This window comes from Homo sapiens, chromosome 18 (genome assembly GCF_000001405.40).
Source record: "Homo sapiens chromosome 18, GRCh38.p14 Primary Assembly".
Classification (NCBI taxonomy): Eukaryota; Metazoa; Chordata; class Mammalia; order Primates; family Hominidae; genus Homo; species Homo sapiens.
Genome location: NC_000018.10, coordinates 14,160,020 through 14,186,793, shown reverse-complemented (window position 1 = coordinate 14,186,793; position 26,774 = coordinate 14,160,020). Strand labels below are relative to the sequence as shown.

The following is a 26,774-nucleotide window of genomic DNA, read 5'->3' as shown; positions in this document are numbered from 1 at the left end:
AGGAAGAGCGCTGAGGAGAAAGATGTAATGTCTGCAATATTCATAAATTATCCAACTATAACCAGGAATAACCTAAAAAGTCTTCTAGGCATTCTTAGGGGCAGATAATTATTTGTGGTATATATAAAGAAAAGAGTTTCAAAAACTTCTAAATTCCAAAATTCAACTTCATAACTGAGGGATTTATATACTCTATAGACTATATATTATAACAAATACACGCTGACTTAAAAACCTTGAAATCTTTATCAAAATATACTATAAGATAGGAGTTGTAAACTCAAATACTTACAAGCACAAAGGAAGGTTGCCTGAGTAAAGGAAGTACTAAGGTGGGCACAGCAGCAAACTGGAGAATACACGCCTTCTCTAAAGGGGCAACCTCTGCACAGCAGACCAAACAGTGATAGAAACTCAGGGGACACCAGATTTGATTTTTTAGAATAAGCCTGAAGTCCAGATTTCTACACCAGTCTTCTAAATTTTACATGTTGATTCAACTTATAGAGGCAAACAAACAAATCTGTGTACCACATTAGAATAGAGCCCTTGTGTTTTTATATTCGCTATTAATGTGTTACTAAATGGTTGTGTATAATCCAAGTATTTGCATGTAAAATATTTTCTTTCTCTAGTATCATATGTTTTACCAAAAACTCAGGCTCTCATATATAATAAAAATTGCTTAAAAAGACTCATAATACCTGCTTCAAGAATTTTTCCAACATTTATTCATTTAAAATATATTTGTATATAATTTTCCCAGATTGTTAACCAAATAGATAATTGGTTCATAGGACTGCTAAAACTAAATTATTAAAAGAATTCATATCTGTATTTTTATTAACTCCATGGACTTCAGTGTTTAAAACTGACATTTTGGTTATGCTAAAGCTCTATAAACTTAACAAACATACTGAGCTAGTTCATAATACAACTTCAACTAAAAAAAATAGTTCAGGATTTGCTACTATTCTAATTGAGAAAGCCCAACTTGTAATGAACATTTGTTGACACGTAATCACGTGCATGGTGACAAAGGGACATCAAATCATGAAAGGGTCAGCCTCTACTTATTGAAAGATTACCCATAAGCAAATTTCTAAAAACTCTCTGAATGTCAGTGAATGATTAATGTTGGGAAGGAAAGGTGTTATTCTGTAAGCTGAGAGATATTACCAGTAATATTTCCTTTCACTTCCTAGTCACTGATGTAGAGAAAGACAGATAAGTCAGGCTAATATTACTGAAAAGGAGAACTTCGAAGGAAGTAGCACCTATCAAACGCCAATTCTTCTAGAGATTTCTTACGTTTTTGAGATACAGAAATTATATGTTGCACTTATCTGTTCTGGGGTTCTTAATCAGGAGTGTATCCGAAACTTGAGAGTTTTTTTTTTTGTTTTTTGTTTTTTGTTTTTTTTGGTGTTATTGTTGTTAGAGGCAAGAGTCTCACTATGTTGCTCAAGCTGAACTTAAACTCAGGCTCAACCTGGGACTACAGGAACATGTCACTGTGCCCAGCTTCAAGAAAATGTTTTTAAAAATGTTCAGGCCTTATAAGGTCTATTACATCAAAATCCTCAGGGGAAAGCCTACATTTGTAGATTTTTAACAAAATGTCCTCAGGTCACTGTAATGCACAATTCTGAGAATTAGTGCAGCAATCACTTCAGTCTCATCTCTCACCCGCATGGCTAGTTCCCTTTATCAGTTGGACATGTGGCCAAAAAGAGAAAAGAGTAAGAGATAGTGTCATTTATTAAAGCTCCAGTTAAGTTTCCTGGGTATGGGTAGAACACAAACAAGTAAACTCAAAATCCCACTTGATTTTGCTATTTACAAGCTCCTTATCTCCCACCTTCCCACCAAGACATTCTAGGTTTGAGAGGAGTCTTTAGACTCTTATCTAAGTGGCTGTTTCTGCCAGGATGGGCAATAAGTCAGTTAATAATTTGTTCCACCTTCTGCTGAAGTGTTTCTCACTTCACCACCACATATTCACTGCCAATCTGGTTTCCTCAAAGTCTTCCTAAAATTCATCTCTAGGCGAGTTTCAACTCACTCTCATTTTCAAACAAAAAATTATTAGACCCAAAGCTAAGGAGTGCCTTGTCTCAACACATAAACTGGAACAACAACAAACTAAGAGAAAAAAAAAACTCTTCATAGCATTTTCCCTCATTACCTAATTTCCAAGTGACCTGCATATTTCTGATTGCTCTCCTTTTCCCTTCCCATTTTTCCCTCTTAAGCCTTGTGCCACTGAGAGATGATACATCAGTTTTTCAGAAAATTATCAGCAGCAGCAACATGTCCACTTATTGTAAGTTGCTTTAGTTTTGTTTGAGTTTTAAGATAAAGCCTATTTCCAGGGCATATTTTCTTTCCTGTGTTGTTTTACGCTAATTACGGGGAAAAAAAGGAAAGATAACCCTGCATAGAAAAAAAGTTGAAAAGGTTTTACCTTTAACAAATTCACAAATATTTTCCAAAGTGCGTTTTATAAAGCTGTACCCTTTAATGCTCCTTTAAAAGTATCAATATTTAAAATAAAATCTTAGACAATTATTTCAAAATTATTTGCATTTGCATTCAGGGAATGGTTGAGCTTCCAAATATAAAAAATTGACCCTTACCTATGTCAATGTTAAAACAAATATTTTGGAAAGAAAGTTGATTGATCTATACCTTGTCCAGTGCTTCAATATTTTCACCATGGAAAAGCAGTTTTTCTGCCAGTGAGGTGCTCTCACTATACACAGCATAATGGAGAGCAGTGTTGCCGTAGATATCCTTAAGGTTTGGATTGGCACCATGTTCCAGCAGAATAACGGCACAAGCCTCTTCCTGGCAATGGACAGCCTGTCCGTGTTAGACCAAGAAACAGAATGTAAATTCCAAGAATTCAAAATACACATTCCACAGGTTTCACCAACTAGTTATATTTAAATGAGATCAATTTATTTTAATTCTATATATGCAAATCAAATCCATGTCATGCTAAAAGAGTTGGCTCTAATATACCTGTATCAAAGGCGTTCTATTTTCTTTGTCATAGATATCAATCTGGCATTTTCTGTTAACCAGGAGAGTGACCACTTTCACATGGCCACTGGCACAGGCCAAATGTAGAGCAGTTCTACGAGAGTAACAGGACTTTTTAGGAAACTGTAGTGCAACATCTCAAAACATACAATCATTCATGTAATTAAAAACTGAATAGCATGTTTTTCCTCTGCCTTCAAAACAAACACTTAATTTTTTTGAAGAAAGTACAATATTTACTAGCTCTTATTGCTCACTGCCTTAATGAAAACAGCAGCCTATTTGAATAGAAACAGCTCAGTCTTTGGATTCAGTTCAACTAGGGCTTGAGTCCTTCTTTAAACCCTGTCACTTACCAACTATTGCTTAGCCTTTCTGTGTCTCAACTTCCTCATTAAGAAAGAGGACAATAGTAGCTATCTCATAGGACACCATCATGATGCTTAAATGAGAAGCTATGTATTTAGAATAGTTCCTACAATAACTCAATAATTGTAAGATTTTTATTTTTTGAGACTAAGTCTCACTCTTTTGCCCAGGCTGGAGTGCAATGATGTAACTATAGCTCAATGCAGCCTGGAACTCCTAGGCTCAAGCGATCTTCCATCCCCAGCCTCCTGAGTAGCTGGCACTACAGATGTGCACCAGCATGCCCAGCTATTTATTTAAAAATTTTTGTAGAGTAAGAATCTCACTTTGTTGCCCAGGATGGTCTCAAACTCCTGGCATCAAGCAATCCTCTCACCTCAGCCTCCCAAAATTCTGGGATTACAGGTGTGAGCCACTGCACCCAGCCAGATATTATAATTGTTACTATTACTACTACTTAACAAAAACATTTTAATTAGGTAAAAGATACAATTATACCTACTTTGCAGGATGGCTTAAAGAGTAGGTCACATTTTAATACTTCTGACATTGGAATGACACATATTATTATAACTATAATTGGTAGCATTTTAAAAATTATCTTATTGATATATAAAATAGCGGGGCATCACACAATCCATGAGACCTTACATTAAGTAGAATATGGTATACTCAGCAGGTCTAGGGCAGTTCTAGGCATACAACTGGCATGTAAATACATTTTAGTTCTTAAAGGTACTATGGGGATAGAGCACTGAAATAACAATAATGCATTTTTTAAACAAATTAATTCCTTGATTTTCAAACAAACTGAAGCCAAAGGAAACTCATGATTCAAATGAATACATATGGCTCATTTTATTCAATATTTATACTTACAGAATATATGCAAATAAGACTTTCCAATGATTAATATTAGTATTTAAGACTGATAAACTTTTGAATGGGCAGTTAAAGGTTATCTTCTACTATTTTCTAACTTCAGAAATGCTTTTGTTTGAAAGGTGGGAGACAAAGTTTCAAGGAGATTAAGTCCCAATATTCCTATTTTAAATCTCTCAACTTGTGCAGGCAGGGCAGGTAAACATGAAGTTTTTAAGGATAGAAGGGTCCTGAGAGATAGTAGAATATGTCTGCTACATAACAGGTACTCAGGTTATGTTTGATGAATAAATGGAATGAAAGAATGGATAAATACAGTTGGGGAGTTCAATATTTTTAAATAACTCCTATAAAGCAATATTTTTGCAATAGTAATTATTTATGTTATTTTTATTTTTAAAGAATACAATTAAAATGAAATAATCTATCATTGTTTGCATAAATTGAATGAATATATAAGAAAAACATATGTACATATAAAATATATAGATAATAAAATCTGGAAACAGATAAAAACATTCCCTTTTTACTTCTGAAGAGGCTAAAAGTTCAAAGAAGATAACAATACACACAATAATGATAAAAAATAGAAAGTGAGAAATTATTTTTAATACTGTAAGATTCATATTCCTCTCTTCCCGAGGATTATTCCTTTATTAATAAACTTTACTAGAAGTTTTGTACATGTTCACTGCAGCAATCACAGGTAAGAAAAAGGAACTTTACTTAAAATACAAATGCTCAGAAATTACAAATTTTATATTTTGTACATATTTTTTGCTAAAACAAGACCATAGTATGTTTGTGTGTATGTATAATTTAATTGATTTTTTTTCCTCACTAGCTATAACAAAATACATCTTCGCACATCAATATACTTCTGTATCTATTGCCACCTTCAATGGTCACATATTATTCCATCCTATGGATGCAACTGAAATTTATTTATAGGATCCATTCTATGGGTTCTTTTTAAAATAAGTGCTGTGAAAAATAAAGTGCATGTATCTTTATTTCCTAAGGGTGTTTTAGTATAATGGAATTGATGGGTAAAGAGCATACATATTTTTTAAATGTAGTACTTACCACCAAATTATCTATTTGAAAAGTAATCAGCAACTTAAACTTTAAGCAGGAGTACAAAACGTCCTCGCAAATATTGTGGATAGAAAACTTTCATTCCTCCTTTAATTTAAATTCTTATACCAGAAATGCGAAGGACTTTTTGCTATGTACACAAATAACTTGCAGATCTGGAAAAAAGTACTTTGCCCATTTTAGAGTTTTTGATGATTTGATTTGAAAGAATTCCCTGTAAAATGAAAATGTACTTTTCATCTAATGTGTATATATACATACAACTTTTCATCTAATGTGTATATATAACTGATATATATATAACAGATTATATCTGTAATAATATATATGGTATATGTATCAGCAATATATATATATCATATGATATATAATAAACAATATAGGCTGGGCATGGTAGCTCATGTCTGTAATCCAAGCACTTTGGGAGGCCGAGGCAGGCAGATCACTTGAGCTCAGGAGTTCAAGATCAGCCTGGCCAACATGGTGAAACCCCTCGCTACTAAAAATAGAAAAATTAGCCAGGCATGCTGGCACCTGCCTGTAACCCCAGCTACTTGGGAGGCTGAGCGAGGAGAATTGCTTGAACCCGGGAGGCAGAGGTTGCAGTGAGCCAAGACTGTGCCATTGGACACCAGCCTGGGCAAAGAAGTGAGACTCTCACTCAAAAAAAAAAAAAAAAAAAGAAAAAGAATATAATGAATTCCCTCTAAAATGAAAACACACTTTTCATCTGAATATATATATATATAATATAGTTAATATTTTTCAAGTAAGCTCTCTTTTGTTATTTTTTTTTCTGAAACACAGGCAGTTTTAATTTTTAGTTTGCTAAATCAACCTTCAGAATGTCTTCTTATGAGGTCATTCTTAGGAAGGCTTTTGTGAACATAAAGTGTACCTGTAAAATAAGCGTTTGTGTTTTCTTCCGGTACTTTACTCATTTTCATATGTAAAAATTTCAATCTGTATTCCATCAGGAACTCATGTTTGTGACATAAAATTTCATTAGTTTTCTTCAAACAGCAGACATTTTTTCATTAATAATTCATCCTTTCCTACTCATTAATCCTTACGTATATCTTACATAATTTCAGTGTTTCTGGGTTGCCTATTCTGTTCTATGCGTTTGTCTTTTCAGCTGTTAGTAAACAATTAATTGTAGAAATTAATAGCACATTTTGATATCTAGAGCAGCAAGTGTTTTTTCACTCCATTATGAAATTTTTTTAAATGTCATCACAATAGTGAAAGACAGCAGGTGTCATACAAAAATGTTAAAACCTTGATATTTTCATTCTGTCTATGTAAAATTGATAAACACAGAAAGAGCTCACATTCTGAGGAAAATGTGTCTTCCCATTCAAGAACACAGAACCCACCTCCCACTTCCAAGTTTCTCTCTAAGAACCTTCAGTAAAGAACCTACCTACACAGGGGGATACGGATGTAAAACGGACAGTTTTATCTGAGAACTTTTCGCCTACTGAAAATAACTCACGGCATTTTTGATAGGGGAATGAGTTCTCTCATTAGGCACCTCCTATAATGTATATAAACCATGTTTTAAACGTGTACGTTAAAATTATCAACACCGTATATGCTTAACTTTGTGAGTTAAATCACTCAAATTCTCCACCAACTGCTCCAGCCAGGGAATTATGAGGGATGGAAAACAGCTGAGGGTCCGTTTGGCTCCGCCGCTCAGAGGGTGCCCGGCGACCTCCAAGGCCCCCGTCCCAGGGGCTGCCAGAAAGCCGGACCTGGGGACCCCCTGCCACCCCGGGCTGAGCCCTCGCTACCTGTGCTGCTTGTCCAGGGCGTCAAGGTCTCCGCTCCTGCGCGCCAGACAGCGCTCCATCTCCGCAGCGTCGCCCTTGACAGCTGCCTTGTGGATCTTCTGCAGTTCCGAGTACCGGATTCGGTACCCGGAACCCGTGTAGAGGTGGTCTATGGAGCCCAGGACCGTCTGGCCCCTGCGGCTCCTGAAGCCGAACAACTTCATGGTGGTGACTTCTCAGACTCCCAACTACCGGCTCTTGAGAGGGGGCAGCTCCCTGTTACCTTTTCACCTCCCCCCACGCCCCCGCCGACCCAGCCCCAAATCCCCTATCCAACCCCAAATCCCCGATCCAACCCCAAATCCGCGATCCAACCCCCAATCCGCGATCCCAAATCTATTATCTAATCCAAAATCCGCGATCCAGCCCAGTCCACCACAGCCTTCAGCAGCGACACTCGCAGCCTCCGACCTCTCAGACCGAGTGAGCCTCGCAAAGCCGTTGGGCGCGCGCCTGCACCGCGGTGGCCGCCCGGGTCCCGGAAGTCGCTCGGAGGTGGCACGCGCTGGCAGGTGGGGCTGCAGCTGCGAGAGGGGGCGGGCCTGGGAACCACCGCGGGTATGGGGGCCTTGCCATTCTCAGGATTCCTGCGGAAACGCTGTGCGCTCGCTGCGCTCCAGGAGCAGGAGCAGGAGGAGGTCGCCCTCTAGAGTCTGGAGTCTGGGGAGAGGAGGAAGGCTCCTTCTTTGTAGGCCACTGGTGTTGCTGAAACCTCTGCCGCCACCTGCAGGGCACCCCCTGATAGCGCCCCTAACCCGCCGCCAGCTGTTGGACCCGGGATAGCGCCCCTAACACCCTCCCCTCACAGCTGCAGTGTAGAAACCCAATAGCGCCCCCAACCCGTCCCCGCCTCAGACGTTGCAGCACCAGATAACTCCCCCAACCTGCCCCCTGCCGTGGGCCATGCAGCCACGGATTGGACCCCCAACCAACCCCCCCGCCGCGGGCAGTGACGCCCCAGAAAGCACTGCAACCTGATCCCCGCCGTGTGAATAGTGCAGCCAAGGATCCTTAAGGCCCCCAACCCGCTCCCCACGATGGGCAGTGCCGTCCCAGATAGCGGATAGCACCCCCAACCATCCCCCAGCCGCGGGGTATGATGCCCTGGATAGCGCACCCAACCCGCAGTCCCCCGTGGACAGCTTAGCCCCCGACAGCTCCCCTAACCCGTATGCCACTACCGAGAATATGGTCCCGATAGCGCACCAAACCTGACCCCCGCCACAGGCAGTGCAGCAGCTGATAGCTCCCCTAACTCGCTCCCACTGACCACAGTACAGCCCCCTAATGATGTCCACAACCCACCACACCTCCCCACCTGCCACCGGTGGGGTATCGCCCCCAAACTGCCCCTTGCCGCTGGCAGTGTAGCCCCCAATAGAGCACCCAACGCCCCCCTCTATCATGAGCAGTCCGGCCCGCGATAGCGCCCGAAACCACCCCGTCCAATCACCTCCCTGTACTCCCCCTTTCCCGCCCCCCCCACCTGCAGTGTACCACCGGAGGCCCCTAACCTATCCCCTGCGGGGGGCATTGCAGCCCCAGATAGCGCCCCCAACAAGTCCCCCGCCGCGGGCGGTGCAGCCCCCAAACCACCCCCCACCCCAGTCAGCACCCCGACCAATCCCCCCACCCCGGCGCCGCCGGCAGTGTAACCACAGTAGCGGCCCTAACCCGTCCCCTGTGGCGGGCAGTGTAGCACACAATAGGGCCCCCAACCAGCCCTACTGCTGCTGGCAATACAGCCCAGGATAGTGCCCCCAACCCGCCCCCACCGCTGCTGCGGGCAGCGCAGCCCGGCATAGCACACCTAAAGTAGTGACGCCCGGAATAACACCCCTACCGGCCCCCGGCCTCGGGCAGTATAGCCCCGGATAGCGCACCTACCCAATCGCCTTTCTACGCTCTGGCCGGCTGCAGTGTCCGCTGCTGCCACCCACCGCAGCGAGGCGAGCCAGCGAGGCCAGCCGCAGTCCCACAGACTCTAGCCTCCAGCCTGTGGTAGGTGCCTCCTCTTTCCCTTCCTGTATCCAGGCAAGAAGCAGCTCTCGCTGCCAGCCGCCTGTCTCCATCGCCGCCACACACTATGCAGAGCCAAGCCCTGGTGCCACAGGATCCAGCCTCCAGCGTCCAGCGTGTGGCGGGGGACTCCGCTTTCGCCTTCTTTAAGGTGCGAACGGAGGGGTTGGGAACGCTGAGGCACAACAGCCTGCAATGGCGCAATTCCCCCTTAGCATGTTTTATATACTGAGGTTATGCAAGCCAGGTTCCTGGACTTCATGTTCTGATTGGATGAGAGAAAACCGCTAGGCCTGCTAGTTGGGGGCACTATCCCAGACTGTATTGCCGGCAGCAGTGAGGTGGGTTAAGGGTGCTATCCAGGGCTGCACTGCTCGGGGGTGCGGGTGGGGGGGTTTCGGGTTGAGGGCGCTATGGGGTGCTGCAATGCCCACGGTGCGGGGAGAGGGGGCAGTTTGGGTGTGTTGGGTGCGCTATGGGGGGGGGGGGGCTACACTGCTGGTGGCAGGGGGCAGGGTTGGTTGGGGACCGTATCAGGGGCTGCACTGATTGCTTTAGCTAGGATTTCCAGTACTATGTTAAGTAACAGTGGTGACAGTGGGCATCCTTATCATGTTCCAGATCTTAGAGGAAAAGCTTTCCATTTTCCCCCATTCCATATGATTCTAGCTATGAGTCTCTCTCATGTGGTTTTTATTATGTTGCAGTATGTTTCTTCTGTACCTGGTTTTTTGAGGATTTATAACATGAAGGAATGCTGAATTTCATCAAATGCTTTTTCAGTTTCAGTTGACATAATCATACTGTTTTGTCGTTTATTTGGTTGATATGATGTATCACATTGAGTGTTGAATGACCCTTGCATCCCAGGGACACATCCCACTTGATCCTGATGAATTATCTTTTTAATGTATTGCTGAATTTGATTTGCTGGTATTTTGTTGAGGATATTTGCATCAATATTAGAGATACTGGCCTGTAGTTTCCTTCTTTGATGTCTTTGTCTGATTTTGGTATGAGGGTAATAATGGCCCCACGGAATAAGTTTGGAAATATTCCCTGCTGTTTTTCAAAACAGTTTGAGTAGGATTGGTACTAGGTCTGTAAATGTGTGGTGTGAAGCCAACAGCAGTGAAGCCATTGGTTCCTGGGCTTTTCTTTACTGGGAGACTTTTTCTGATGGCTTCGATCTCATTACTTGTTACCGATCTGTTCTGGTCTTGGATGTTTTCACTGTTCAACCTAGGTAGGTTATATGCATCTAGCATTTCTACTAGGCTTTCTAATTTATTGGCATATAATAGCCAGTTAAGATCCTTTGAATTTCTGAAGTATCAGTTGTAATGTCTCCTATATTATTTTTTGATTTTATTTATTTGAATCTTCTCTCTTTTTTCTTAGTCAGCCTGGCTAAAAGTTTGTCAGTTTTGTGTAGCTTTCCAGAAAACCAACTTTTTGTTTAATCTTGTGTATTTTTTTAATTTCAACTTTATTTCTGTTACGATCTTTATTATTTCTTTTCTTATTTTGGGTTTAGTTTGTTCTTACTTTACTAGTTCTTTAAGATGTATTGTTTATTTGAAGTTTTTCTTCTGTTTGGATGGTAGGCACTTATAGCTATGAATCTCTGCCTTTGTACTGTTATTGGCATATCATAAGTTTTGGTATATTGTGTCTTCATTACCATTTGTTTCATGAAATTTTTCAATTTCCATCTTAGTATCTTCATTGACCCACTAGTCATTCATTCAGGAGCGTATTATTTAACTTCCATGTGACTGTATGGTTTCCAAAATTATTATTCTTATTGATACCTAGTTTTATTCTTTTGTAGTCAAAGAAGATGGCCATGGAGACAGCAGCGTGGTCGGAGTGGTAGCAGACAGCCATCAGCAAGAGCTGCTCCGTGCCCGGCTGCTGGAGGCTAGAGCCTATGGCCCAGTGGCTTGCCTCACTGTGGTTGGTGGTGGTGGTGACAGAGACTGCAGCATGACCAGAGTGATAGGATAGGGGCCATCAGGGCTGCACTTTTCACAGTGTGGGGTGGGTTGGGGGCGCTATCTAGGGTGTCACTGCCTGCACTGGGGGTACTGGTTGGTAGCATTATATGGGGCTGCACTGCCCATGGTGGGGGGCGTGTTATGGGTGCTCTCTGGGACTGCAATGCCCATAGAGGAGGACAGGTTAGGGCACTATCGGGTATACACTGCTGGTGGCGTTTTGGGGGGTGGAGGTGGGGGGTGCTATTGAGGGCAGGACTAGCCATGGAGGGGGGCAAGTTGGGTACTGTTGGGGGCTGCACTGCTGGCGACGGTCAGCAGAGTTGGCAGCGACAGTGCTGGCATCCAAGGAAGGAGCGGTTCTCCTCTCCCTGGACCCCACACTCCAGAGGGCAACCTACTCTTGCTCATACTGGAGCACGGCAGACACAGTGTTTCTGTGGAAATCCTGAGCATGGCAGAGCCCCTACACCCACCGTAGTTCCTGGGCCCATGCACTCTGGGTCTGTGCCACAGAGACTGCCTGGCACCCCCCAGTATGGAGTAGCAGACACCACTGGGGACAGGGGCCTGTACGTGGAGGCATCCGGAACAGGAAGTGGCACCTGGGTGCAGAGGGTTGGCTGGGTCTGAGTTTCTGCTGCTCCTGCTCCCCGAGGAGTGCAGCCCAAGTGGGCCCAGCAGTTCCTGTGGAGTTGGGAGCCAGGCACTATGGTGTCTCCAGCACCCACCCCAGGCCCCAGTTTCTGGCCAGCTTGGGCCAAAAGGACTTTGAAGGGTGGGTGTGAGTGCCTTCACTGAAACTGGCCCCTGCCACCCAGTGGCTGGCGTGACAAAGTGAGGCTCTGACACTACCACCCCTTGCATCTTCCTCTAGGATTTTCTGGCTTTGCCCTCCCAGCTGCTCCGTGCCAGGAGGAGGAGGAGACACCTGGAGCCTGCAACACCACAGCTTGCTTCTCTGTGGGCTGGTGGTGGCAATGCAGACTGCAGCATGCTGGAGCAGTAGGAGGGCAGGCGGCTGCGGCCAGGGTGGGGGCAGGCCTACAGCAGTGGCCAGGCTGCGGCAGTGGCCAGGTGGTAGGAGCCTTGTAGGGAGGGCCGATGCATTCACAATGGGCCTGGCTATGCCCTGCCCGTGCTGTGGAGCTGGCCCTGTACTGCCCTGCCCTGCCTTGCCCTGGACCTGCCCTGCCATTACCTGGACTGTCTCAGCCCTGCCCTGCTCTGGTCCCACCCTGGCCCTGTCTTGGCCCTGTGCTGCCCTGTCCCTGCTCTGGTCCTGCCCTTGCACTGGCCCTTCCCTGGCTCAGGCCCTGGCCCCACCTCTGCCCTGGACCTTCCCTGAATCTGTGCTGACCCAGCTTTGGCTCTGGCCCTGCCCCCTGTCCTGACCCTGGCACTGCCATAGCACTGGCCCTGCCAATGGTCATGGTCCTGGTCCTGTTCTGGCCCTGACCTGGCCTTGGACATGTCCTGGCCCTGATTTGTCCCGGCCCTGCCTTGGCCTGTCCCTGCCCTGGCCCCACCATGGCCCTGCCTGTTCTGCCCTCTCCTGGCACTGACCTTGCCCTGTCATGGCCCAGTGGTGCCATTGCCCTGCCTTACCCTGCCCTGGTTGTGCCCTGGACCTGCCTGACGCTGGCCGCTCCCTGGACCTGCCCTGACCTTGCCGTGGCTTTTGCCCTGCCCTCACTATGGCCTGGCTCTGGCCCTGCCCTGGCCCAGCCTGGGCCCTGGCCCTGGCCCTGACCCTGGTCCTGCCATATCCCTGGCTCTGCCCTTATCCAGGCCCTGCCCCTGCCTGTGCCCTGGACCTGGCCTGGAACCTGATCCTGCCAAGGACCTGCTGACTCTGCCATGGCCCTGGCCCTGCTCTGCCTTGCTCCTGGCCCTGACCCAGACTCTTTCTTGGTTCTGTCCTGGCCCTGGCCTTTCCCTGGCCCTGAGCTGGCAGTAGTCTGCCCTGGTCTTGCCACCACCTTGCCCTGCCGTGCTCTGGCTGTGTCATCACCCTGCCCTGGCCCTGCCCTCACCCTACTCTGGCTTTGACCCTGCCCTGGCCCTACCTTGGCTCTCACCCTAGTCTTGGCTAGGGCCTGCTCTGGACCTGGCCCTAGCCCAGACCTGGCCCTGACCCTGGCCCTGGTCTTTGTCCTGCCATATCCCTGGCCCTGGCCCTGCCCCGGCCCTGAAGTGACTTGACCCTCTTTTGGCCTGTCCCTGCTCTGCCCCTACCATTGCCTTGTCCTGTTCTGCCTTGTCCTGGCACTGACCCGGCCGTGCCATTGCCCTGCCTTACCCTGCCTTGGCCGTGCCCTGGCTCGGTTCTGGCCCTGGCCCCGCCCTGGACATGCCCTGACACTGCCTCAGCTTTGGCACCAGCCTGGCTCTGCCTTGGCATCGGCCCTGCTCTCTCTATGGACCGGCTCTGGTCCTGTCCTGCACTGGCCATACCATGCCTTGCCCTGACTCAGCCCTGACTCAGCCCTGGCTCAGCTCTGGCCTTGGTGTTGCCCCTGGTCCTGCCATGTTTCTTGCCCTGTCCCTACCCTGGCCCTGGCCCTGACCCTTACCCTGGTCTGGCCCTGCTCGTGCCCTAACACAGACCCTGGACCTCTCCTGGCCCTGGCCCTTCCTGGCTTGAGAATTTACCCTGGTTCTGCCCTGGCCCTGACCCTGTCCTGACCCTGAAATACTGGCCCTACCCTGGCCTTGCACTGCTCTGGTCCTTGCCCTGACTCTGGCCCTGTCACTATCTTAGCCCCAGCCCTGTCGCTGGTCTTACCATGGCCCAGACCCTGCCTTGGCCCTACCCTGACCCTGTCCTGGACCCCGGCTGTGCCAAGAACCTGAACTGTCCTTGCCCTTCTTTTGCTCCTGCCCCGAACCTGGTGCTGCCCAGGCCATGGCCATGGCCCTGTCCCTGCCTTGGTCTTGGCACTGGCCTGGCCCTGCCCTGCCTTGGCCCTATGCTTTCCTGGACCTGTCCTGCCTGCCCTGGCCCTGCCTTGGCCCTAGCCTGGCTTTGACCCTGCCCTGGCCCTACCTTGGCCTTCACCCTAGCCTTGCCTGAGCCCTGTCTTGTACCTGGCTATAGCACAGACCTGGCTGTGGCCCTGGCCCTGCCATGGCCCTGTCCCTGACCCTGGCCCTGCCAGGTACCTGTCCTGGCCCTGCTCTGGGCCTGGCTTTGTCCCTGGTTTTTAGATGACCCTGACCCTGCCCCCTACCCTTGCCCTTTCCCTGGCACTGGCCTTGGACATGTCCATGGTCCTAACCCTGGCCCTGCCCTGGAGCTGCCACTGTCTTGGCTCTGCCCTGGCCCTGGCAGGGACCTTGGCCCTGGCCTTCGCTGCTTAAGGCCATACCTGGCCTAGCCCTGGGCCTGACCCTGTCCTGGCCCTGATTTGCCCTGGCCCTACCCTGGCATGCTATTCTGGCCCTAGCCCTGACCCTGTCCCTGTCCCTGTCCCTGTCCCTGTCCTCACCCTAGTCCTGTTGCTGGTCCTGCCATGGCCCTGGTCCTGACATTGCCCTTTCCTGGTCCTGGCCCTGGCCCTGCCCCGGCCCTGCTCTGGCCCTGGTCTGAACTCTGGCCCTGCAATGGACCTGCCTTGTCCCTGCCCAGACCCTGGCTCTGGCCCTACCTCTGCCCTGGCCATACCCTTGCCCTGGTCCTTGTCCTGTCCCAGCCGCGTCCCTGGCCCTGCCCTGCCTGTGCCCTGTTCTATCCTGGGCTGGCCCTGCCATGGCCTGGTCTTGCTATTGCCCTGCCCTAGCCTGCCCTGCTTGTGCCCTAGATCTGCCCCGGCCTTTGCCCCTGTCTTGGGTCTAGCCCTGACTCAGCCCTGGACCTTCCCTGACCTTGCCTCAGCCCTGGCACTACCCTGGCCTTGCCTTGGCATTTGCCCTACCCTCTCTATGGCCTGGCTCTGGTACTGCCCTGCTCTGCTCTTGTTCTGTCCTGGCACAGCCCTGGCCCTGGCCCTGCCCCTGGTCCTGCCATATCCCTGGCCCTGGTCCTGCCCTCATGCAGGCCTGCTCCTGCCCCTGCCCTGGCTTTGGCCTTGGCCCTGTGCTATCTTAGTCTTGCCCTGGCCCTGACCTCGCCCTGGCCCTACCCTCACCCTACCCTGGCCCTGCATTTGGCCTGCCCTGGCCCTGGTTCTGCCCTGGCCCTCCCCTTGCCCTGGCCCCTCCCTGGCCATGCTTTTTCCCTGGTCCTTCCCTGGCCTGCCCTTGCCCTGGCCCCTTTCTGGTCCTGCCATGTTTCTGGCCCTGCCCTGTCCATGCCCCGGACCTGGCTCTGGCCCTAGACTTCCCTGGCTGTGCCCTGCCATACCCTGGCCTGGTCCTTGCTCTACACTGACCCTGCCCTGCCTTGGCCCTGTGCTACCCTCACCCTGCCCTGGCCCTCCACTGGCCCTGGTCCTGCCATAGCCCTGGCCCTGACCTGGCCCTGTCTTAAGCCCTGGCCCTGCCATGTCCCTGCCCTGGCCCTGGTTCTGCCCTGCTTCTGGCCCTGGCCTTGGTCCTGTCATGTCCCTGGCTGTGACCCTGCCTGGTTCTACCCTGGCTCTGGCCCTGCCCTGGTTCTGGTCCTGCCCTGGCCCAGCCCTGACTGGGCACTATACTACCCTGGCCCTGCCCAGCCCAACACTGCCCAGGCTGGAGCCCTGCCTTGGCCATGCCCATGGCCCTGCCCCTGGTCCTGTCGTGGCCCTTACCCTGCCACTGGTCCTACGATAGCCCTGATCCTGACTTGGCCCTGGTCCTGACCTAGCTGTGGCCCTGCCCTGCTTCTGGCCCTGTCCTGGCCCTGGCACTGCCTTGGCCCTGGCCCTGCCCTGGCTCCTACCTGCCCTGGCCTTTCCTCGGCCCTGTGCTAACCTGGCCCTGCCATGATGTGGCCCTGCGTCTGCCTTGACCCTGCTCTGGGCATGGCCTTAGCATTCGACCTGGCCCTGCCCTGCCCCTGCCCTGGACCTGCCCTACCATTACCTGGCCTGTCCTGGCCCTGCCCTGCCCTGGCCCCACCCTGGCCCGGTCTTGGCCCTGTGCCACCCTGTCCCTGCCCTGCCCTTGCATTGGCCCTTCCCTGGCACAGGCCCTGGATTAACAAAGTTGTACAGTCATCAATCACCACTGTTTCAGTGCAGAACATTTTCATCTTCCCAAAAAGAAACCCATCAGTAATCACTCCCTGTCCCTCTCCCGTCATGGCCCTTGGCAACCACTATTCTAGTTTTTTGTCTCTATGGATTTACTTATTCTAAACTAGACATTTGATATAAATGGAATCATTCAGCATGTGACCTTTTTGTCTGGCATATGCCAAGATTTTTGAAGTGTACTTTTTAATTTTTCTCTGATATTTTCTAGATTTTAAAGTTTAGATTTTTAAATCTTTCTGGATTTAATTTTTTTTTTTTTTTTGAGATGGAGTTTCGCTCTTGTTGCCCAGGTTGGAGTGCAATGGCACAATCTTGGCTGACTGCAACCACTGCCTCCTGGGTTCAAGCAATTCTCCTGCCTCAACCTCCCAAGTAGCTGGGATTACAGGCATGTGCCACCATGCCCGGCTAATTTTGTATTTATAGTAGAGATGGGATTTCTCCATGTTGGTCAAGCTGGTCTCAAACTCCCACCCTCAGGTAATCCACCTGCCTCAGCCTCTGAAAGTGCTGGGATTACAAGTGTGAGCCACCGCGCCTGGCTAAAAAAATGTATTTTTAAAAGTGTATTACAAAAAAAAAATTAACTGGATGTAGTGGCAGGCGCCTGTGATCCCAGCTACTCAGGAGGCTGAGGCAGGGAGAATTGCTTGAACCTGGGAGGTAGAGGTTGCAGTGAGCTGAGATCATGCCACTGCACTCCAGCCTGGGCGACAGAGCGAGAGTCCATCTCAAAAAACAAAAAATAAAATAATAAAATAAAATAGTATTCTCACCCTTTTCTACTCACATTCCCTCTGAGCTAATTAGTGCTATTGGCTGATGTGTATCCTTCCACTCACATTTACTTACTCGTACATTCAAATGCAAAATACACATACATACATAGGATGGTGGTGGTTGTATTTTAAAATGAAATTATTTTATGCTCATTACTTTGCATCTTGCTTTATTTAAGAAAATATTTTAGCTGTTCCTTAAAATAGTTGATAGAGATCTAACACATACCTTTCAATATTAGGTAACATTCTGTTACACTAATGAGCCTCATTTACTCGACCATTTCACTGAATGGGTGGATATTCAGATGTTTTCAGTTTTTTGACACCATAGCTAAGTCTTAATAAATATCTTGTTCATACATTCTTCTTAACTGATGCTCTTAATTCTATAGACTAGAATCCCAAATCTGGGGTTTCTGTGTCACGAACATTTGCATTTAAAATTTGTAATAGTTATTACTAGATTTATGTTCCCCAGTAGTTGCAGCAGGTCACAGCTTCATCCCCACTGAAATGCCTATTTTCCTGCATTTTTATCAGGATTAGCTGTTTTGCAATCTTTACAACTTTTTGCCCCACTAATAAGGTAAGAAAGTATCTTATCTCAAGTATTCTTACCTTCTCTTTCAGAGGTAAACTGTATGACGTAATGGATATGTTAATTACCTTGATTGTGGTACTCATTTTAGAATGTATAAGTTTATCAGAACATCATGTTTTGTACACCTTAAATATATACAATTTTTATTTTTCAATCATACCTCAATAAACCTGAAAAAAAGTCATTCAGAAAGGAATCAAACAGTAGATACTAGCATTAAAAATATGTTATAAATTTTCAAGCATAGAATGATAACATAAGATTAGGAACAAGAATACGTGTGTATAGATTTTAACATTTATATCTGTGAATATTAATCAATATATACAGATCTTGAAGGCAAGTTACAATTGTGAAGAAAATGAAAATTATGTTGTGTACCTATAATATGAAAATAAAAAATCACACAAAGGCATATACCTTCACTCAAGGATGCATACTCGAGTGTACATATTATTTATAATAACCTAAATTTGTAAACAGCCCCAAATGTCCATTAACTTGTGAATGAATAAACCAACAGTGATACTTTGAAAGAATGGAATACTATTCAGCAATAAAAAGGAACTAACTACTGACTCGGCAATATTCGTGAATCTCAAAAATATTATGCTAAGTGAAAGAGAGATGACATACTATGTGATTTCTTTTAAAATTTCTAGAGAAGACAAAATTCAGGACAGAAAGCAGATCAGTGGATGCCAGGAGTAGGAGTTAAGGGAGGAAATTTATTGCAAAGGAAATGTAGGGGACTGATTGTGGTGATGTTTGAAATGTTCTATGTCATGATCATGGTTGTGGTTACATGACTATTCTGAAAGTTCGTTAAGTTGTACACTTCAAATTGCTGATGCTCATTATATGTTAATTATACCTTAAAGCTAATAATTCATATTTAATCTCCTTGTGGTTTTGATTTGCATTTCTCTGATGGCCAGTGATGATGAGCATTTTTTCATGTGTCTTTTGCCGGCATAAATGTGACTGTTCATATCCTTTGCCCACTTTTTGATGGCGTTGTTTGATTTTTTCTTGTAAATTTGTTTCAGTTCTTTGTAAATTCTGGATATTAGCCCTTTGTCAGATGGGTAGATTGTAAAAATTCTCTCCCACCCTGTAGGTTGCCTGTTCACTCTGATGGTAGTTTCTTTTGCTGTGCAGAAGCTCTTTAGTTTGATTAGATCCCATTTGTCAATTTTGGCTTTTGTCGCCATTGCTTTTGGTGTTCTAGTCATGAAGTCCTTGCCCATGCCTACGTCCTGAATAGTATTGCCTAGGTTTTCTTCTAGGGTTTTTATGGCTTTAGGCCTAACATTTAAGTCTTTAATCCATCTTGAATTAATTTTTATATAAGGTGTAAGGAAGGGATCCAGTATCAGCTTTCTACATATGGCTAGGTAGGTTTCCCAGCACCATTTATTAAATAGGGAATCCTTTCCTCATTTCTTGTTTTTGTCAGGTTTGTCAAAGATCAGATGGTTGTAGATGTGTGGTATTATTTCCTAGGACTCTATTCTGTTCCATTGGTCTGTATCTCTGTTTTGGTACCAGTACCATGCTGTTTTGGTTACTGCAGAGTTGTAGTATAGTCTGAAGTCAGGTAGTGTGATGCCTCCAGCTTTGTTCTTTTGGCTTAGGATAGTCTTGGCAATGCGGGCTCTTTTGTGGTTCTATATGATCTTTAAAGTAGTTTTTTCCAATTCTGTGAAGAAAGTCATTGGTAGCTTGATGGGGATAGCATTGAATCTGTAAATTACCTTGGGCAGTATGGCCATTTTCACAATATTGATTCTTCCTATCCATGAGCATGGAATGTTCTTCCATTTGTTTGTATCCTCTTTTATTTCATTGAGCAGTGGTTTGTAGTTCTCCTTGAAGAGGTCCTTCACATCCCTTGTAAGCTGGATTCCTAGGTATTTTATTTTCTTTGAAGCAATTGTGAATGGGAGTTCACTCAAGATTTGGCTCTCTGTTTGTCTGTTATTGGTGTATAGGAATGCTTGTGATTTTTGCACATTGATGTTGTATCCTGAGATTTTGCTGAAGTTGCTTATCAGCTTAAGGAGATTTTGGACTGAGATGATGGGATTTTCTAAATATACAATCATGTCATCTGCAAACAGGGACAATTTGACTTCCTCTTTCCCTAGTTGAATACCATTTATTTCTTTCTCTTGCCTGACTGCCCTGGCCAGAACTTCCAACACTATGTTGAATAGGAGTGGTGAGAGAGGGCATCCCTGTCTTGTGCCAGTTTTCAAAGGGAATGCTTCCAGTTTTTGCCCATTCAGTATGATATTAGTTGTGGGTTTGTCATAAATAGCTCTTATTATTTTGAGATACATCCCATCAATACTTAGTTTATTGAGAGTTTTTAGCATGAAGTGTTGTTGAATTTTGTCGAAGGCCTTTTCTGCATCTATTGAGATGATCATGTGGTTTTTGTCATTTGTTCTGTTTATATGCTGGATTACATTTATTGATTTGTGTATGTTGAACAAGCCTTGCATCCCAGGGACAAAGCCAACTTGATCGTGGTGGATAAGCTTTTTGATATGCTGCTGGATTTGGTTTGCCAGGATTTTATTGAGGATTTTTGCATTGATGTTCATCAGGGATATTGGTCTAAAATTCTCTTTTTGTTGTGTCTGTGCCAGGCTTTGGTATCAGGATGATGTTGGCCTCATAAAATGAATTAGGGAGGATTCCCTCTTTTTCTATTGATTGGAATAGTTTCAGAAGGAATGGTACCAGCTCCTCTTTGTACCTCTGGTAGAATTCGGCTGTGAATCCATCTGGTCCTAGACTCTTTTTGGTTGGTAGGCTATTAATTATTGCCTCAATTTCAGAACCTATTATGGTCTATTCAGGGATTCAACTTCTTCCTGGTTTTGTCTTGGCAGGGTGTTCTGTGTCCAGGAATTTATCCATTTCTTCGAGATTTTCTAGTTTATTTGCATAGAGGTGTTTATACTATTCTCTGATGATAGTTTGTATTTCTGTGGGATCGGTGGTGATATCCCCTTTATCATTTTTTATTGCATCTATTTGATTCTTCTCTCTTCTTTATTAGTCTTGCTAGCGGTCTATCAATTTTGTTGATCTTTTCCAAAAACATCTCCTGGATTCATTGATTTTTTGAAGGGTTTTTTGTGTCTCTGTCTCCTTCAGTTCTGCTCTGATCTTAGTTATTTCTTGCCTTCTGCTAGCTTTTGAATGTGTTTGCTCTTGCTTCTCTAGTTCTTTTAATTGTGATGTTAGGGTGTCAGTTTTAGATCTTTCCTGCTTTCTGTTGTGGGCATTTAGTGCTATAAATTTCCCTCTACACACTGCTTTAAATGTGTCCCACAGATTCTGGTATGTTGTGTCTTTGTTCTCATTGGTTTCAAAGAACATCTTTATTTCTGCATTCATTTCCTTATGTACCCAGTAGTCATTCAGGAGCAGGTTGTTCAGTTTCCATGTAGTTGAGTGGTTTTGAGTGAGTTTCTTAATCCTGAGTTCTAGTTTGATTGCACTGTGGTCTGAGAGATAGTTTGTTATAATTTCTGTTCTTTTACATTTGCTGAGGAGTGCTTTACTTCCAACTATGTGGTCAATTTTGGAATAGGTGTGGTGTGGTGCTGAAAAAAATGTATATTCTGTTGATTTGGGGTGGAGAGTTCTGTAGATGTCTATTAGGTCCACTTGGTGCAGAGCTGAGTTCAATTCCTGGATATCCTTGTTAACTTTCTGTCTCGTGGATCTGTCTAATGTTGACAGTGGGGTGTTAAAGTCTCCCATTATTATTATGTGGGAGTCTGAGTCTCTTTGTAGGTCTCTAAGGACTTGCTTTATGAATCTGGGTGCTCCTGTATTGGGTGCATATATATTTAGGATAGTTAGCTCTTCTTGTTGAATTGATCCCTTTACCATTATGTAATGGCCTTCTTTGTCTCTTCTGACCTTTGTTGGTTTAAAGTCTGTTTTATCAGAGACTAGGATTGCAACCCCTGCATTTTTTTGTTTTCCATTTGCTTGGTAGATCTTTCTCCATCCCTTTATTTTGAGCCCATGTGTGTCTCTGCACATGAGATGGGTCTCCTGAATACAGTGCACTGATGGGTCTTGACTCTTTATCCAATTTCCAGTCTGTGTCCTTTAATTGGAGCATTTATCCCATTTACATTTAAGGTTAATATTGTTATGTGTGAATTTGATCCTGTCATTATGATGTTAGCTGCTTATTTTGCTCGTTAGTTGATGCAGTTTCTTCCTAGCCTCGATGGTCTTTACAATTTGGGATGTTTTTGCAGTGGCTGCTACCGGTGGTTGTTCCTTTCCATATTTAGTGCTTCCTTCAGGAACTCTTGTAGGGCAGGTCTGGTGGTGATAAAAATCTCTCAGCATTTGCTTGTCTGTAAAGTATTTTATTTCTCCTTCACTTATGAAGCTTAGTTTGGCTGGATATGAAATTCTGGGTTGCAAATTCTTTTCTTTAAGAATGTTGAATATTGGCCCCCAGTCTCTTCTGGCTTGTAGAGTTTCTGCTGAGAGATCTGCTGTTAGTCTGATGGGCTTCCCTTTGTGAGTAACCCGACCTTTCTCTCTAGCTGCCCTTAACATTTTTTTCCTTCATTTCAGCTTTGGTGAATCTGACAATTACATGTCTTGGAGTTGCTCTTCTTGAGTATCTTTGTGGCATTCTCTGTATTTCCTCAATTTGAATGTTAACTTGCCTCGCTAAGTTGGGGAAGTTCTCCTGGATAATATCCTGCAGAGTGTTTTCCAACTTGGTTCCATTCTCCCCGTCACTTTCAGGTACACCAATCAGACATAGTTTTGGTCTTTTCACATAGTCCCACATTTCTTGGAGGCTTTGTTCATTTCTTTTTACTCTTTTTTCTCTAAGCTTCTCTTCTCACTTCATTTCATTCATTTGGTCTTCAATCACTGATACCCTTTCTTCCACTTGATCAAATCAGCTACCGAAGCTTGTGCATGTGTCACATAGTTCTTGTGCCATGGTTTTCAGCTCCATCAGGTCAGTTAAGGACTTCTCTACACTGGTTATTCAGTTAGAAATTCGTCTAATCTTTTATCGAGGTTTTTAGCTTCTTTGCGATGGGTTCGAACATCCTCCTTTAGCTCGGAGAAGTTTGTTATTACTGATCGTCTGAAGCCTTCTTCTCTCAACTCATCAAAGTCATTCTCTGTCCAGCTTTGTTCTGTTGCTGGTGAGGAGCTGTGTTCCTTTGGAGGAGAAGAGGCACTCTGATTTTCAGAATTTTCAGCTTTTCTGCTCTGGTTTCTCCCCATCTTTGTGGTTTTATCTGCCTTTGGTCTTTGATCATGGTGATGTACAGACGGGGTTTTGGTGTGGATGTCCTTTCTGTTTGTCAGTTTTCCTTCTAACAGTCAGGACCCTCAGCTGCAGGTCTGTTGGAGTTTGCTGGAGGTCCACTCCAGACCCTGTTTGCCTGGGTATCAGAAGCAGAGGCTGCAGAACAGCGAATATTGCTGAACAGCAAATGTTGCTGCCTGATCGTTCCTCTGGAAGTTTCATCTCAGAGGGGTACCCGGCCATGTGAGGTGTCAGTCTGCCCCTACTCAGGGGTGCCTCCCAGTTAGGCTACTCGGGGTTCAGGGACCCACTTGAGGAGACAGTCTGTCCATTCTCAGATCTCAAACTCTGTGCTGGGAGAACCACTACTCTCTTCAAAGCTGTCAGACAGGGACATTTAAGTCTGCAGAGGTTTCTTCTGCCTTTTGTTCAGCTAGGTCCTGCCCCCAGAGGTGGAGTCTACAGAGGCAGGCAGCCCTCCTGGAGCTGCGGTGGGCTCCATCCAGCTCGAGCTTCCCGGCCGCTTTGTTTACCTACTCAAGCCTCAGCAAATGCGGGCACCCCTCCCCCAGCCTCACTGCCACCTTGCAGTTCGATCTCAGACTGCTGTGCTAGCAATGAGTAAGGCTCCATGGGCATGGGACCCTCCAAGCCAGGCACGGGATATAATTGTGCCATTTGCTAAGACCATTGGAAAAGCGCAGTATTAGGGTGAGAGTGACCCAATTTTCTAGGTGCCTTCTGTCACAGCTTTGCTTGGCTATGAAAGGGAATTCCCTGACCCCTTGCACTTCCGGGGTGAGGTGATGCCTTGACCTGCATCGGCTCATGCTCGGTGCGCTGCACCCACTGTCCTGCACCCACTGTCCGACAAGCCCCAGTGAGATGAACCCAATACCTCAGTTGGAAATGCAGAAATCACCCATCTTCTGCGTTGCTCATGCTGGGAGCTGTAGACTGGAGCTGTTCCTATTTGGCCATCTTCCACTTTACCACTTATCATTAGTTTTAAAGAAAAAAAAATTGACATAATGGAAATTTTCACTATACCTCAGGAAGGGAACTCAGTGGAAAAGTAAGCTTCCTATTCCCTCTTGACCTTCAGTTTATACTTTTCTTCCTAAGTCAAGTACTACTACTGGTTTCTTATGCTATTTCTAGAACTAGCCTATCTATCTCTGTCTATTTAAAATAACTCATTAATCACCTTTTATTTGAGCTGCCTTATGGATCTATGTAGTTTTTCTGTCTCTTTTTAAAATTTTTTATGTGGTAGAATACACATAACATAAAATTTACCATCTTAACCATTTTTCAGTGTACAGTTTAGTAGCACCATCTTTCACATTGTTGTGCAACCAATCTCCAAAACCTTTTCATTGTGCAAAACAAATTCTGTATCTATTCAACAGCTCTCCATTCTTCCCTACCCGCAACTCCTGCAACCATCCTTCTACTTTCTGTCTGTCTGAATTTGTATACCTCACATAAGTGGAATCATACAGTATTTGCCTTTTTGACATGGGCTTATTTTACTTAGCATAATGTCCTCCAGTTCCATTCACGGTGCCTTGAAAGACAGGATTTCATTATTTCTTTATGGCTGAAATAGTATTCATCCATGTTGTAGCATGTCAGATTCTCTTCCTCTTTAAGGCTGAATGATATTCCATTGTATGTATATACCAACATTCTATTTATCTAAATTTATCTGCCAATGGATTTTTCGGTTTCCACCTTTTGGCTATTATAAATAATGCTACTGTGAACATGGGAGTACAAAAAACTTCAAAGCCCTGCTTTTAATTATTCTGAATATATATCTAGAAGTGGAATTGCTGGATCATATCTTTATTCTATTTTTAATTTTTTGAAGAATTTCTTTTTTTTAAGTCACTTTTGATGGTTTATTCTTTGCCAGAAAATATATTTTCAATTTTATCAGTGCAGAGTTGTATATAATATTTATATATTTTACTTGTACAATTATATAAAAGTTGTATTATATTTCTATATTCTCATATAATTATCTTCAGTATCCATGTTTGTAACTGTTTCCTCATTTCTCTTTTTCCTCTTTCATGTTTACTATTTTATTGGTCTTTAAAACCTAGACTTTGATTTTTTTTGTTGTTGTTTTTGAGACAGAGTCTTGCTCTATCACCCAGGCTGGAGTGGAGTGGCGTGATCTCAGCTCACTGCAACCTCCGCCTCCCAGGTTCAAGTAATTCTCCTGCCTCAGCATCCTGAGTAGCTGGGATTACAGGTGCCGGACACCATGCCCAGCTAATTTTTGTATTTTTAATAGAGATGGGGTTTCACTACGTTGGTCAGGCTATTCTCAAACTCCTGACCTTGTGATCCACCCACCTCAGCCTCCCAAAGTGCGGGGATTACAGGCATGAGCCACCACGCCTGGCCGTTTCCTAGCATTTAAATTTTTCTGTTTCATTAATTTTAGCTTTCATTTTATTTATATTGTTATTTCTTCAGGCAATGGCTTGGTTCATCTATTTTCAGTTTTTTTAAAAAAAACTGTAAAGTGTAAGGCTCTAAATTTTATTTTTTTAGTTACAGGAATTTTTAATATATTCTGGTTATTAATCCCTTATGAGATATATTATTTGCAAGTATTTTCTCCCACTCTGTGGATTGTTGTTTCATCTTCTTGATAGTGTCCTTGATAGACACAAGTTTTTATTTGGATGAAGTCCAATTTATCTGTTTTTTCTTTTGTTGTCTGTGCTCTTTTGGCATCATATACCAGAAATCTTTGCCAAATCCAATGTTGGAAACATTTCTTTCCTATGTTTTCTCCTAGGAGTTTTATAGCTTTACTGTTAAGTTTTGGTCTTTGATCTATTTTGATTTAATTTTTGTATATGATGTAAGGGAAGGGTCCATCTTCATTCTTTTGCATCTGGATAATCAGTTTTCCTAGCATCATTTGTTGAAAAGACTGTTCTTTCTCCATTGAATGGTCTTACTACTTTTTTCAAAAATTGTTTGGTCATATATGTGAGGTTTCTTTCTAGGCTGTCTATTCCATTGGTCTATATGACTGTGCTTATGCTAGTACCACATTGTTTTGATTACTGTAGCTTTGTAGTAAGTTTTCAAATAAGAAAGTGTGAGTTCTCCAACTTTATTCTTTCTCAAGATACTTCTGACTATTATGTGGTTCTTTGAGATTCATATGAATTTTAGGATGGGTTTTTCTCTTTCTTTTTGCAAAAAAGACCATTGGGATTTTGATAGGGGTTGCATTGAATCTGTATATTGCTTTGGGTAATATTGTTACTTTAACAATCTAGGAACATGGGATATCTTTCCATTTATTTATGTTTAATTTCTTTCAGCAATGTTGGTAGTTTTTTATTGTATAAGTTTTTCCCCTCATTGATTAATTCCTAAATATTTTCTTTTTGATGCTATCATAAGTGGAATTGTTTTCTTAATTTCCTTCTTGTATTTTTCGTTGTGAATGTATAGAAATCCACCTGATTTTTGTGTGCTGACTTTGTATTCTATGACTTTGAATTTATTAGCTCTATCAGTTTGTTTTTGGTGTGTATGTGTCATCTTTAGGGATTTCTACATATATATCATCTGTGAATAGACATAATTTTGCTTCTTT

The 26,774-nt window shown here is 44.7% G+C and overlaps 1 pseudogene across 1 annotated transcript in view; it reads right to left on the bottom strand.

The window, feature by feature from the left end:
* Positions 1-7,697, bottom strand: part of ANKRD20A5P (ankyrin repeat domain 20 family member A5, pseudogene) — a 47,954-nt pseudogene extending 40,257 nt beyond the window's left edge. Inside the window, exons 1-3 of the transcript NR_040113.1 lie at positions 7,197-7,697; positions 3,028-3,142; positions 2,692-2,865 (exon numbers count right to left, since the gene is read on the bottom strand). The product of NR_040113.1 is annotated as an ankyrin repeat domain 20 family member A5, pseudogene (transcript). The remainder of the gene's footprint in view (positions 1-2,691; positions 2,866-3,027; positions 3,143-7,196) is intronic.
* Between the last annotated feature and the right edge of the window lie 19,077 nt (positions 7,698-26,774).